This window comes from Homo sapiens, chromosome 6 (genome assembly GCF_000001405.40).
Source record: "Homo sapiens chromosome 6, GRCh38.p14 Primary Assembly".
NCBI classification, from domain to species: domain Eukaryota; kingdom Metazoa; phylum Chordata; class Mammalia; order Primates; family Hominidae; genus Homo; species Homo sapiens.
Genome location: NC_000006.12, coordinates 14,993,394 through 15,009,084, shown reverse-complemented (window position 1 = coordinate 15,009,084; position 15,691 = coordinate 14,993,394). Strand labels below are relative to the sequence as shown.

Sequence of the window (15,691 nt, the reverse complement as noted above, 5' to 3'; positions counted from 1 at the left end):
GCGGGGTTTCACCATGTTGGCCAGGCTGGTCTAGAACTCCTGATCTCAAGAGATCCACCCACCTCGGCCTCCCAAAGTGCTGGGATTACCTGCATGAGCCACTGCACCTGGCTTCAGCCCTTTGTTTTATCCAAGAGAAGGTCAAGAGCAGATAAATTGGGTATGTCATCCTGCCACGTGGATGAGCATGGTGGAATGCTGCTGGAATCCCTGAAGGTCCACTAACCCTCAGTCCAGGGGTCTCTGGATTTCCATATATCTGTTCGCATCTGCTCAGAAGTCATGTTAGGGCTCTTACAGGAAATGAAAGGCGTATACCAACTGGGTCATTTGAGGAGAGTTTATGAAGTTGGGGCAGGACAGGGTGTTGGAAGCCCTATGGAGAGCGCGGTGTGCCAGGGTAGATAGCGGTGGGCAGAGTTACCATTCTGAGGGTGGACAGAGTGAGGAAAGAGAAAGACACTGGAGCCTGGAGAGAGCTAGATGGCTCTAGAGGGAGGACTGCCTGACAAGAGCCATGGACCCCAGTTGAGAGGCTCAGCCAGCTCACAATGACTAAGTAGAACCAACACCCTGAGCTGACTGTCCTCTCTCCCTCTATCACCTGCTGGAGCTCCCTATTTGCCAAACCCAATCAGAAGCCAGGGACAAGAGAGCTGTTTGATGTCATCCTTACAGATCAGCCTTTTGTGTAGAGAAGGGTGATCTAGAAGGATGAAAGGGATGCCCAGCACAAAGGTTTAGAAATGCAGTTCAGGCTGGGCATGGTGACTTGCACCTGTAATCCCAGCACCTTGGGAGGCTGAGGTGGGCAGATTACTTGAGGTCAGGAGTTCAAGACCATCCTGGCCAACATGGTGAAACCCTGTCCCTACTAAAAATGCAAAAATTAGCTGGGTGTGGTGGCAGGCATCTGTAATCCCAGCTACTTGGAGGCGGAGGTTCAGGAGGATCCTTTGAACCCAGGAGGCAGAGGTTGCAGTGAGCCAAGATAGTGCCACCGCACTCCAGCCTGGGTGACAGAGCAAGACCCCATCTCAAAAAAAAAAAAGACAATTCAAACCTCCTAAACAAAAAAATTTAGCTGTGTAGCCTTCCATGGTTCCCCAGGCCCTGACTGAGTTTCCGTGGTATTTGCTTAGCAATTACTTTGTTTTTGTAGGAGCAGGCCCCTGAATTTTGATCTTTCTGCACTCAGCTCTGAACTGGTCATTGTCTCTTTCAGTGATTTCATGATCTGGTTGACTCTGGTGATTAGGTGGTGGCCTATGTCAATTATCACTGCGTATGTCTGGGCAGACAGAATAGCCCATATTGCAATCTGGCCATTTTCCCCATGCAATTATAGGCCTTAATTTTAATGAAACTGTTTGGGGTTTATTCTAATCAGCAAAATGAAATGTGGTGGTTACTGTAGAATTTCCTTTTGGTTGGGCAGTGAAACCATACATGATCCTTTGGCTGCCCTTGGCTTTCATCTGAAGTCATGGGAGAATGTGGTTTCACATGGAAAACTGTGCCTCCCTGGTATTCTGCTATGAATGGAATATAGCTCTTACACGCATGACCATTATTTAATCGCAGGTGCAGAATATCTTGAGCATATCACAGCTGACTTATGTCTTCCTTTCCCCATCAGTCACAAAATCCAGGAAATTGAGAGTTATCCTGTTGTGAAGAAGGCCTGGATTGGCAACATGGCTTCATCCATAGAGACATGCATATCCTTGGAGGGGGATACAGGGACTTAGTTTTGTGGTCTGAGAACATTCTTGGCCTGCTGATAAGTCATTTCTGAAATTTGTTGTGCAAGAGGAGTGGACTTTTAGTATCGAATAATAGTCTTTACATCAATTTCATGAACTTACGTAGTAGGTAAATTATATGCTTAGTCAGTAATCCATAGACCCAGTACATTGGATTTTAAGACAGTCTACCTTACTTTACCTTCAACCACTTCTGTGATTTTATAGCATTGTATTGGGGCTAAATGGAAGTGAATGGACAAATGCTGTGAATTTCTTTCTTAAGATTGCCTGGGTTGAATCCAGGCTCTCCACTGGCTATTGGACCTCAGACAAGCTACTCAATTCTCAATTCTCTTATATGTAAGTCTCAACACTCTCTCTTTTTTGAGACAGGGTCTCACTCTGTTGCCCAGGCTGGAATGCAGAGGCACCATCACAGCTCACTGTACCCTCAAACTCCTGGGCTCAAACAACCCTCCTGTCTCAGCCTCCTGAGTAGTTGAGACAACAGGCAGGCATCACCACACTTGGCTAATCTTTTTTTGATTTTTTTTTTTTTTTAGTAGAGACGAGGTCTTGCTATGTTGCCCAGGCTGGTCTCAAACGCCTGGCCTCAAGTTATCCTCCCACCATGGCCTCCCAGAGTATTGGGATTACAGGCATAAGCCACCATGCCTGGCCTCAATATTCTTACATGTAAGATGAAGGGAAGGTGTCTCGGTTATAATTAGGTTAAACAACATAGAACAAAACATCCCAAAGAATAGTGGCTTAGTCACATAAGTTAATTTTTTTCTTGTATGAAATAATTCTGGTGGTAGACAGCCAGGGGCTGGGTTGGCAGCTCCTTGATTGTACCAGAGGCCCAGGTTTCTTTTATCTTCATCCTCTGCTACCTTTAGTTTGTAATCTTCATCCACAAATTACAAGATGACAGTTGGAGCTCAAACCATCTCATCCATACTCCAGGCAGCAGAAAAATTGGAATGGACAAAGAGGGCATGCATGCCATCAATCTGTCTCTCTTCTCTTCTGGAGGTGTCACTCAACAACTTCTGTTTCCATCCTGTTGGCCACTGCTAATCACCAGGTGAACTGGTCAATTAGTGCTTTAGGGCTGGGCCCAGTGGCTCACGCCTGTAATCCCAGCACTTTGGGAGGCCGAGGCAGGTGGATCACCTGAGGTCAGGAGTTCGAGACCAGCCTGACCAACATGATGAAACCCCATCTCTACTAAAAATACAAAAATTAGCCAGGTGTGGTGGTGTGTACCTGGGATGTATCCCAGCTACTCGGGAGGCTGAGGCAGGAGAATTGCTTGAGCCGGGGAGGCAGAGGTTGCAGTGAGCTGAGATTGCACCATTGCACTCCAGCCTGGGCAACAAGAGCGAAATTCCATCTCAAAATAAACAAATAGATAAAAGATAAATAAATAAATTAGTGCTTCAGTTAGGAGCCTTGAAGTTTCACATAAAATAGGGACTCTCTTCTAAGGAATAAGGAAAGAATGGATCTCTGGCAGACAACTTTTGGATTCTGCACAGGGGATGGAGACAGACTTTTGTGAGGTTGAGATGATAAATTCCCATCAAAGTGTCTAGCAAAATGGCTGGCACTAGGAAAGCACTCATCGCACACAATACATAATTATTATCTATTTATAAAGCAACGAGACTTTCAAAAACATAGCCAAATTAAACAGAACAACATTTATATGGTTTTACCTTCAAAAGTAATCACCTTGAAAGGCAACAACATATCATTTCCTTTGCACTTGATCTTAGTCAAAAGGCCGAGAAGCAATATATCATTTCCTTTAATTTAACATGACTACCTTGAGAACCAGTTTATTATTTACATAAGAACATCAGCTTTGTTGGTTTGTTTCCACTATTAGCTTCATCATCTGTTGTATTCAATAAAATTAACCTTGAATGACACTCAAGGATGATGAGACTTGACCCTTGGGAATATGTTTAAAAATGTTCACAGTTCTTAGGGAATTCTGGTTCAGTTATCTCCTATTTCTAGAAGTCAGACTTCCATACTTTCCATGCTAATGGGAGATATTTGCATAAACATAACAGAGGAAAGTATATGTAAAACATGTATGTAGCCAGGCACAGTGGCTCAGACCTGTAGTCCCGGCACTCTGGGAGGCTGAGGCAGGAGGATCACTTGAGCGCAGGAATTCGAGACCAGCTGGGCAACATAGTGAGAATTCATCTTTACAAAAAAAAAAATAATAATTAGCCAGGCTTGGTGGTGCACACCTGTGATCCCAGCTACTTGGGAAGCTGAAGTGGGAGGATCGCTTGAGCATAGCGGGTTGAGGCTGCAGTGAGCTATGATCTCACTGCTACACTCCAGCCTGGGCGACAGGGCAAGACTCTATGTTGAAAAAAAAAAAAGTGTAAAAAAAACAGTTTGCCCTAGCCATGAAGATTAGTACATTTGAAAGTACTTACTATCCTTATTAACCTTTGTTCAGATATTCATGGTAATATAGGCTTACAGATGAGATTGAATAGTGATTCACTAGAATTATACAGATACAGGTTGAGCATCTCTAATCTGAAAATCCAAAATCTGAAATGCTCCAAAATCTAAAACTTTTGTGCGCCAACATGATGCCACATGTGGAAAATTCCACATATTAATTGCTTAATGTAAATTTTGTTTTATGCACAAAATTATTAAAAATATTGTATTAAATTACCTTCAGGCTGTGTGTATAAGGTGTATATGAAACATAAATAAATTTTGTGTTTAGACTTGGGTTCTATTCCCAAGATATCTCATTATGTATATATTATGTGTATATATTATATAATTATATAATTTATATAAATAATATATATAATTGTATATATTTATATATTATATAATTTATATAAATAATATATAATATATACACATAATATATACATAATATATAAAAAATAGTATTATGTAGATATTATGTATATAATATGTATATATTATGTATATATAAATACCCCAAAATCTGAAAAAATTCAAAATCCGAAATACTTCTGGTCCCAAGCATTTTGGATAAGAGATACTCAACCTGTATTCCCATTTCTTATTGAAATTAGTTGAAAGTTTGTATAAGAAAACTTCAGCTTTTGTTTGTTTTTAACTTGTGGGTAGGACTGGTAAATATTTCCATACGACTAAAGCTTTACAAACACACAAGACTTATTTACATACTAAATCATGCAATTATTTTCATAAGATAAGTCCATTATATACATTCCATTTAAGACTAAAAACATGTGATGTGAGTTCTGGTTATTTACTGGTCAACTTGAGGGGATATGGTATGTTACAAAGTCTACCCTGTTATACTGTTGACCCTGACATCATTACATGTAAGATGTAGAGGTAATCTCATCTATCAAGTTGTTTATTTTACAGATGAGGAAACTGAGATGCTGAATTTCAATGTCTTGCCTGAGATCTCACAGCTAACATATGGCAGAGCAGGTATCAGCATGCAGCCCACCTGGGTCCTAATATCATGCCTGTTTGACACCCAATTCCCTCCCATTCTCTCAGGGTTGACATTGCTCTGTCAAGTTTTCCCCATTGGAGCAGGGAAGGTGAACACCGAATCTGAGGATTGGAAATCTTTGCCTCTTACATGTTGTGAGACAATGACCACTCTTTGTCGGTCAATATCCACTCTTCCTTTCCTTATACAACTCCTAAATTTTTGCCGGGTATTTGGCTATACAACCAGACTACATTTTTGGTCTTGTTTGTGGCCAAGTGACTGTTCTGACCAATGGGATGTGAGTGAAGGTGGGTGGATACAACTTCTGTGAGCCACACATTAAGGATGGTAGAGCTACCCCGCCAGCTTTGGACAGTGCACCTCTGGACTATTATATGAGAGAGTATTTAAGTGTTTAAGTCCCTGTGTTTCGGGGTCCCCTTATTACAGCAACTGTGACTGTACCCTAACTAATACACTTGGTATCAATCAATTAGTGCAACTGTGACTGTACCCTAACTAATACACTTGGTATCAATCAATTAGTTCTGTATCGTAGCAGGAAGTAGACTTTCTCCTCTTAAGGCCTAAGGTGCAATTCACAAAGATGGATTTCGCTCAGGCTCAGATTTTAAACTTTGATATTTTTAAAATTAAAAAAAAAATTTAGCCGTGTGCAGTGGCTCACGCCTGTAATCCCAGCACTTTGGGAGGCTGAGGCGGGCAGATCACCTGAGGTCAGGAGTTCGAGACCAGACTGGCCAACATGGTGAAACCCCTCTCTACTAAAAATACAAAAATTAGCCGGGCCTGGTGGCACATGCCTGTAATCCCAGCTACTCAGGAGGCTGAAGCAGGAGAATCAGTTGAATCCGGGAGGCGGAGGTTGCAGTGAGCTGAGATCGCACCATTGCACTCCAGCCTGGGCAACAAGAGCGAAACTCTGCCACACACATAAAAAATAATAAATTATTTTTTAGAGATGGGGTCTTGCTCTGTTGCCCAGGCTGGACTTAAACTCCTAAATTCAGGCAATCCTCCTGCCTCAGTATCCTGAGTTACTGAGACAACAGGTACACACCACTGTACCTAGATTTTAAATGTATACCCTTGTTTTAAGTCAGTGTAAGGACATGCTTGTATGAGGCAAAGTAGTTTACTAGAAAGAATGTTGCCAGGCACGGTGACACACGCCTGTAATCCCAACACTTCGGGAGACAGAGGCAGGAGAATTGCCTGAGCCCAGGGTTTCAAGACCATCCTGGGCAACATAGTGAGACCTTGTTTCTACAAAAAATTTAAAAAGTAGTGGGGCATGGTGGTGCATGGTGGTGCATGCCTGTGGTCCCAGCTATTTGAGAGGCTGAGGTGGGAGGATTGCTTGAGCCTCGGAGGTTAAGGCTGCAGTGAGCTATGATAGCACCACTGCCCTCCAGCCTGGGTGACAGAACAAAAAAAAAAGAAAAAAAATGTTGACCCAGGGAGTTTGGTCAAGGGTTTCTAGCATTAGTTTGCTACTAACTTCCAGAGCACCTTCATTGGGTGTCTGCTTCCTTAGTTATAAAATGGTGATTATATTGTTCATTTATCTCCCAGGGTATTATGCATAATACTTCATAAAAAATGGTTGTAAAGCATTTGGCAAATGCAAGCTTTCTGCCTATTATGCTGAACTAATCCGGTAGCTTTCTTGGCACCCACAGTCTCTAACGATTTATAGATGGGCCTTTTTACTGAAGGGGGCTTGACTTTGGCATGATCTGCCTGAGCTGCTGGACTCTCCGTTGACTGTTAGAATTCAGTGGATATGTTATACTTTCCCTGGGACCCTCCTTAGCACCATGATGAAGAAGGCATCTCAGCATTGGAGAGGAGGGCCGGAGGCCCCTATTGACAATTCTCTTCTCCAGAGCTGGTGTTTGCATCAATGTATTGGTGATTTCTTGAGCCTAAAAATGTTAAATAAACAAGTCTTGCTTCTGAAACCCTTCTCATGTGATCAACATCATGTTTGCAAAAAACAACACCAAGTTAGAATCATGCTTTATGCATTTAAAAAAAAAAGCAACCTTGTGACTGGTATAATTCTCATGTTACATCTGTGCCACATACATATAATAGCTCATTGTGGTGGCTGAACAGGACTCCCGATATTTTGCCTTGGAGACCATTACTTAAGCAGGTGACTCTTGAGCTTTCTATTTCAGCACTTTGAGAAGTTTGCCAGAAGGTGCTTGCTTGTGCCAGGCAGTCCTTAACATTTCCCCCGGGGCAGCCTCCACGTTTTAGTTACATTACTTTTGACCACTAATCTTTCTTTTACCCTGAGCATCTCTGTAAGAGGCAGATTTGGAACACTTCCCTGACTAGACCCATTCTTCTAAGGAGCATAAATCTGTTAGAGTGTAGTAACTATGTGAGAACGCAGTCCAAGTACATTTTTCAAGAAAAGTATAAAAAACGTTATCAGGACAATGAGAGAACAGGATTATCATGCTAATAGTTCCATGTGGAAATGATTGGTTGGTATCAAAACTCCATTTACCAGAGTTCTTGTAATGTTGGCATTCAAGTGGAATGGGTTTGGATGCAATTACAAGGTAGTTATCTTCCAATGTGATACACAGTTGAACCTTGAACAACACAGGTTTGAACTGCGCATGTCCACTTATACATGGATTTGTTTTTAATAAAAGTTACCCTGCCTCTCCTGCCTCCCCTCCCACCTCCTCTATCTCTTCTGCCTCTGTCGCCCTGAGACATCAAGACCAACCCTTCCGGGCCGGGCGGGGAGGGCTCACGCCTGTAATCCCAGCACTTTGGGAGGCTGAGGCGGGACGATCACCAGGTCAGGAGATCGGGACCATCCTGGCTAACACGGTGAAACCCCGTCTCTACTAAAAATACAAAAAAAATTAGCCGGGCCTGGTGGTGGGTGCCTGTAGTCCCAGCTACTCAGGAGGCTGAGGCAGGAGAATGGCATGAACCTGGGAGGTGGAGCTTGCAGTGAGCCGAGATTGTGCCACTGCACTCCAGCCTGGGCAACAGAGCAAGACTCCATCTCAAAGAAAAAAAACAGAAACAAAAACAAAAAGACCACCCCTTCCTCTTCTCTTCCTCCTCTGCCTACTCAACATGAAGATGAGGAGGATGAAGACGTTTATGATGATCCACTTCCGCTTAATCAATAGCAAATATATTTTCTCTTCCTCATGATTTTCTTAATAACATTTTCTTTTCTGTAACTTACTTTATTGTACGAATACAGTGTATAATGCATACAACATTCAAAAATATATGTTAATCGACTGTTTATGTTATTGGTAGGTAAGGCTTCCAGTCAACAGTAGGCTATTAGTAGTTAAGTTTTTGGGGAGTCAAAAGTTATGCATGGGCTGGGTGCAGTGGCTCACGCCTGTAATCCCAGCACTTTGGGAGGCTGAGATGGATGGATCACGAGGTCAGGAGTTTGAGACCAGCCTGGCCATTATGGTGAAACCCCATCTGTACTAAAAATACAAAAATTAGCCAGACACAGTGGCGGGGGCATGTAATCCCAGCTACTTGGGAGGCTGAGGCAGGAGAATCACTTGAACTCGGGAGGCGGAGGTTGCAGTGAGATGAGATCTCGACACTGCACTCCAGCCTGGAGGACAAGAGTGAGACTCCGTCCAAAAAAAAAAAAAAAATGTTATGCATGGGGCTGGGTGTCATGGCTTACACCTAGAATCCCAGCGCACTGGGAAGTTGAGGTGGGCAGATTACTTGAGCTCAGGAGTTCGAGACCAGCCTGGAGAACATGGTTAAACTCCATCTCTACAAAAACATACAAAAATTAGCGGGGCCTTGTGGCATGCGCATGTAGTCTCAGCTACTCAGGAGGCTGAGGTGGGAGGATGGCTTGAGCCCGGGAGGCATAGGCTGCAGTGAGCCAAGATCATGCCACTGCACTCCAGCCTGGGCAATAGAGCCAGATCCTATCTTAAAGAAAAAAAGCTCTCCAAAACAAAGTCAGACATGGATTTTTGAATGTGTGTGGGGACAGTGCCCCTAACCTCTGTGTTGTTTTAGGGTCAGCTTTACTGTAGTCATTTCTGCATCACCAGTTTTAGCTGTTCTTTGAAATGGAGGAAGGAAGGAAGAAAGATAGGGAGGGAGGGAGAAAGAAAAGGAGATAATGATGTGGAATAGGAGATGGGGAAGCGGGAAGGGCCTGGAGCCCACACCTGCCGTATGCTATGAATATGGTACCATTGAGTTCCCATGAATCCTATGTCATTTCATCCCCCAACATCCCTGTGTGGTTGGTATTATCCCAAATGTACAGAGGAGGAAGTCATGAGTTAGAGAGGCTGAGTAGCATTCAGTTAGGAAGTGTTGGAGAGAAAATCTGAATCCGCATTTACCCGACTCCAAAGTCCTTACTCCTGTCATGAGGCCATCTCATCTTTTTGGTATGGAATGTACCAGAGGAAGGAAAAGCATTCAGGTATGTTGCCCAGGCAGGTCTCAAACTCCTGGGCTCAAGTGATCCTCCCGCCTTGGCCTCCCAAAGTGCTGGGATTCCAGGTGTGTGCTACCATGTCTGACCCTCAGCCAGTTTAATCAGATTCCTCTGAAGGAGCGTTGCTTGGAACATAATCAACTTAAACAGGAAAAGAAGACAGAATGAGGAGCTACCTTGCAGCATCCCCATGGCTAGGAACTGCAGACAGCCACGAGGAGCTGACAGCCATTCCTGCCAACCCTCGAGGGAAAAAGGGGCCCTCAGTCCTACACTCACAAGGAAATGAATTCTGCCAACCTCAGCTTGGAAGAGTATCCCAGCCCCAGCTGAGAAGGCAGCCCCAGCTGACACCGTGGCTTCAGCCAGTGAGACCCTGAACACAGAATCTAGTTACTCTGTGCCCGGATTTCTGACCTATGGAAACAATAAGATCATAAATGGGTATCGTTTCAGCCAGGCGCGGTGGCTCACACCTATAATCCCAGCACTTTGGGAGGCCAAGGCGGGCAGATCACTTGAGCTCAGGAGTTCGAGACAAGCCTGGGCAACATGGCGAAACCCTGTCTCTGCAAAACTTAGCCTGGCGTGGGCCGGGCGCAGTGGCTCACGCCTGTAATCCCAGCACTTTGGGAGGCTGAGGCTGGCGGATCACAAGGTCAGGAGATTGAGACCATCCTGGATAACATGGTGAAAACCCGTCTGTACTAAAAATACAAAAAAAAAATTAGCCGGGCATGGTGGTGGGCACCTGTAGTCCCAGCTACTCGGGAGGCTGAGGCAGGAGAATGGCGTGAACCCGGGTGGTGGAGATTGCAGCGAGCCGAGATCGTGCCACTGCACTCCAGCCTGGGCGACACAGTGAGATTCTGTCTCAAAAAAAAAAAAAAAAAAAAAAAAAAAAAAAAAAAAAAAATTAGCCTGGCGTGGTGGCACATACCTGTAGTCTCAGCTACTTGGGATGCTGAGGTCGGAGGATTGCTTGAGCCCAGGAGGCGGAGGTTGTAGTGAGCCAAGATCGTGCCACTGCACTTTTAGTCTGGGCGACAGAGCGAGACCCTGTCTCAAACAAATAAATAAAAATAAATAAATAAATAAATACCTATTGGTTTTTTTTTTTTTTTTTGAGACGGAGTCTCGCTCTGTCGCCCAGGCTGGAATGCAGTGGCACTATCTTGGCTCACTGCAAGCTCTGCCTCCCGGATTCACGCCATTCTCCTGCCTCAGCCTCCGGAGTAGCTGGTACTACAGTTGCCCGCCAACATGCCCGGCTAATTTTTTTGTATTTTTAGTAGAGACGGGGTTTCACCGTGTTAGCCAGGATGGTCTCGATCTCCTGGCCTCGTGATCTGCTCGCCTCGGCCTCCCAAAGTGCTGGGATTACAGGCATGAGCCACTGCACCCGACCATAAATAGCTATTGTTTTAAGCCACAGAGTGTGTGGTGATTTGTTACACAGAAATAGAAAACAAACACATAGATATCCCATTTCCCTGGTTCCCTCCACAAGCCTATGAAGAAGGTAAAGCAAGTATTTTTTAGTCTCTATTGGATTTGGAGGAAATTGATGCACAAAGAAAATATACATCTAGCTCAAGTTTATTTAGCTAATCAATCATTGAGCTGGGAGGAGTTTGGTTCCTTTGACACTTCCAGAAATGCTTGTACATCCTAATGGTGTGCTTATGCTGTTTTTGTTAGCAGAGCAATGCCTTTGAGCATGTTTGGATCCAGTGGAAGAGTTGGTGATAAGGGGCAAATGACGCAGTGGGGGAGAACTCAGGAGAGGGGAAGGTGATGGGGGCTCCATCTACCTTCACATTATTCCTAGCTAATGCCCCTCTGCATCCCCCTTTAGATCTGTGCCCGCAGAGAGAGCCTGCTCCAGCCTCTTTGCTACAGCCTTGAGTCTTCTGCTGTAAGTTTTCATTCTTTACCTTTTTTTTTTTTAATGAAAAACTTATGGTTAATTATTGTATTGCATTTGGGTTTGTGTGTGCATGCATATGAATGTGTATCATGTTCTCCAGGGGTTTCCTGGAAAACCCTTTAAAGCCTCTGTCTATCTCAGACAGGACAAGAGGAAGAGGAGGGCTCGGACGCTGTGGCACAGAGGGCTGGTTTCCTCCCAATGTACATTTCCCTTGCTTCCATGTCATACAAGTGTTTATCTGTGCTCGTGGCTGCCCTGAATAAGAACTGTATTTCCAGCTTTGTGGAAGCCAGGTGTGGTCATGTGACTAAGTTGTAGCCAATAGCCTGTGGGGAGTAGTGAGGTGTGCAACAACTGGCCAGAGCTGTTAAAGGGAAACGCTGTGTTCTTCCTTCTGTGTTCCCCCTTCCTTGGCTGGAATTGCCTGTGGCAGTGCTCTACTTTTCCTTTTTCTTTTCCTTTTGGTTTTTGTCTCACTCTGTTGCCCAGGCTAGGGTGCAGTGGTGCAATCTCAGTTCACTGCAACCTCTGCCTCCTGGGCTCAAGCCATCTTTCCATCTCAGCCTCCAGAGTGGCTGGAACTACAGCTGCATGCCACCATGCCAAGCTAATTATTTATTTAAATTTTAAAATATTTATTTATTTTGAGATGGAGTCTCACTCTGTTGCCCAGGCTGGAGTGCAGTGGCACGATCTTGGCTCACTGCAACCTCTGCCTCCTGGGTTCAAGCGATTCTTCTGCCTCAGCCTCCTGAGTAGCTGGGATTACAGACATGTACCTCCATACCCAGATAATTTTTGTATTTTTAATAGCGACATGGTTTCACCACGTTGGCCAGGCTGGTCTCGAACTCCTTACCTCAGGTGATCTGCCGCCTCGGCCTCCCAAAGTGTTGGAATTACAGGCATGAAACACCGCAGCTGGCCAGTCCTCTTTTCGTTTTGTTTCGTTTCTTTTCTTTTCTTAGAGATAGGGTCTCACTATGTTGCCCAGTCTGGTCTTGAACTCCTGGCCATAAGCAATCCTCCTGCCTTGGCCTCCCAAAGTGCTGGGATTTTCTCTTTCTTCTGAATCCACCTCCAGCGTTACCAAGTTTGGTTCCTCTGGTCATGTAGCATCCTCTCATGTGTGGCCTCGGGACCCCTTGCGCTGCCTCTGCAGGTTCTGAGCACACTGTATTGAGGTTTCTCCCGTCATGGCCCTTATCACACTAGACTGAAATAGCCTGTTCCCTTGGTGCCCTCCCCACAGGGTTGTAAACTGGCTCAGGGCAGGATCTGTTTCCCATCCTACCAGAGAGCCTGTTACATATTAAGTCCACAATACATATTTGTGCAACCATCATACATATGAATGAAAGAGGGAGTGAAGGAATGCATAAAAATCACTGTAGACTGGAGACTTGGATGTCAGCATATGTGGGACTCTGCAGTGTGGGTGTCTGATATAAAATAAGGTTTTATTTGGGAGGGACGCACTAGACGTGTGAAGTCAAATGCTCTTTATTCTTCTTACAAAGTGCGCTTTCAAACTCAGCGAGGGGCATCTAACTTTCCATCCTGTTTTTCTCTTGTTCTCCTTGTCCATTTCCTTCTACCCTCATGAAAGCCCCCTCTCTCTATCCCTTAATTTTCAAGAAGCGATCGTGTAGTAAATCCCATCCCACTGAGTCAAATTTAGGTCATCTTTTATTTGATCAAAATATAGTCTTACTGGCAAGTGGTATCACTATTATTCAGGAACACACATATTGTTTTACTTACAGCTGTGTAGTATTTTATGTTCTCATATAAATGTTATGCCTGGATTATAGTGGAAGCAAACTGGACTCCATTTATTTGAAAAAAATAATGGGAAATCGGGTTCATTCTATCCACCGTCCTGATGGTTTCCCATTTCTCAAAGGAGTCCTTGCCTGGGCTGTGCAGTGTTGCTTGGTAAACAGGCTCTCCGCTGATTTCTCTGAGATGGTTTTCCTAGTAGTCTGCACTAAGCCCTCGGCTGGGGTAGGAGTGAGGCAAGAAAACATGACAGGGAGAGATAGAGAGCTGCTTGATTGAGCTCCTTGCAGGGACAGAGGTGGACAAAGCTGTCAGGTTCTCTTGGGTAAAGATCTTGGAAGGTAGTTAGAAAAATGTATACACTTCTGTGGGCAAGACATTCAGAACAGACGGGAGAATCCAGCACTGGTGGTGGATTTGCGCATCATCATCATCGGGTGTCGTCATTATCATTATCCTGTTCTCAGGAAGGGTCCGCTTTGTTTAGAGGGTGTGTGCGTGTGTGTGTGTGTCTATTAACACTCTGCTCAGTCTCCCCTTCGCTAGCAAAGAGTGAACAGAAATCTGGCTCTAAAATCCAGGCTCTCTCTGCTCTACTTCTCAGCTCCTTTAAACATGCAATTGCTGACCCCACTTCTTCTGTCCTTATGTATGTCACCTTGTACTTATACATGTATGTACACATGTATATAGATGGCTACTTTTATGGAGGTGTGTGCAGGAACATAGTTCTTGAAGTCTTTTCACAGAATCACACAGACAGGAATGGCATTGCAGAACCTCCTTTTGGCTGAGTGCGGTGGCTCACTCCTGTGATCCCAGCACTTTAGGAGGCAGTGGTGGGCAGATCGCTTGAGCCCAGGAGTTCGAGAGCAGCCTGGGCAACTTGGCAGAACCCCATTTCTACTAAAAACACAAAAATTAGACAAGCATGGTGGTGCCCTCCTATAGCCTCAGCTACTTGGGAAGGTGACGTGGGAGGATCACTTGAGCCTGGGGAGGTTGAAGCTACAGTGAACCATCGTTGTACAACTGCACTTCTGCCTGGGTGACAGAGTAAGACACTGTCTCAAAAAAAAAACAAAAAACTGTATATATGTATACACACACGTGTGTGCACACACACACATACGTGTGAATAGTACCTGAAACAGAGTCAGCTTTCAATGAATATTAGCTAATATTGTTATGAAAACAGGATCAGAATGTTCAGTTTCTTACAAGTTATTTTTTTAATCACTTACGATAAGAATTGACTGTTGACAGTATAAATGAATATAAATACATAAATAAAATAGTTTATATATTTTGAATGTATATCAATAGACATTAAATGTTATTATTTATTAAAATCCTGATTTGGTTAAGTTTAAAAAGTTAAATAGCAAACCTCTAATAATTTTTCTTTTTTTTTTTTTTTGAGACCGAATCTCACTCTGTCACCCAGGCTGGAGTGCAGTGGTGCGATCTTGGCTCACCACAACCTCTGCCTCCCGGGTTCAAGCCAGTCTCATGCTTCAGACTCCTGAGTAGCTGGGATTACAGGCGTGTGCCACAATGCCCAGATAATTTTTGTATTTTTAGTAGAGAAGGGGTTTCACCATGTTGGCCAGGCTGGTCTCGAATTCCTGACCTCAAGTGATCTGCCCACCTTGGCCTCCCTCCCAAAGTGCTGGGATTACAGGCATGAGCCAGCACGCCTGGCATAATGTTTATTACATTGTTATATGCAATAATATTGTAAAGGAATCATGCTGGAATAATAGAACATAAATGTATGCATTTATATGTATATTTTATGAGATATGTGCATTTATATATCTACACATGTATTTGAAATTGTAAACAACACATAATACAAAATTTACCCTCTTCGGCCAGGCACGGTGGCTCACACCTGTAATCCCAGCACTTTAGGAGGCCGAGGCAGGTGGATCACATGAGGTCGGGAGTTGGAGACCAGCCTGACCAACACGGAAAACCCCATCTCTACTAAAAATACAAAATTAGCTGGGTGTGGTGGTGCATGCCTATAGTCCCAGCTACTCGGGAGGCTGAGACAGGAGAATTGCTTGAACCTGAGAGGCAGAGGTTGCGGAGAGCGAAGATCACACCATTGCACTCTAGCCTGGGCTACAACAGTGAAACTCCGTCTCAAAAAAAAAAAAAAATTTATCCTCTTCACCATTTTTAAGTTCACTAGTGCTAATTATGCTCACATTGTT

General features: G+C 44.1%; 1 long non-coding RNA gene across 1 annotated transcript in view, besides 1 other annotated feature; it reads left to right on the top strand.

Moving 5' to 3' along the window:
- LOC105374945 (uncharacterized) overlaps positions 1-15,691 on the top strand; it is a 148,669-nt gene continuing 132,978 nt past the window's right edge. Inside the window, exons 1-2 of the long non-coding RNA XR_007059473.1 lie at positions 1-160; positions 11,610-11,669. This is a non-coding gene — a long non-coding RNA (uncharacterized LOC105374945). The remainder of the gene's footprint in view (positions 161-11,609; positions 11,670-15,691) is intronic.
- Positions 11,534-12,033: an enhancer, noted in NCBI's record as "H3K27ac hESC enhancer chr6:14997283-14997782 (GRCh37/hg19 assembly coordinates)". NCBI's record gives its function as "activates a minimal SCP1, AML or CMV promoter by ChIP-STARR-seq in naive H9 embryonic stem cells {active_cell/tissue: H9 hESC(naive)}" and the evidence as "EXISTENCE:reporter gene assay evidence [ECO:0000049][PMID:30033119]".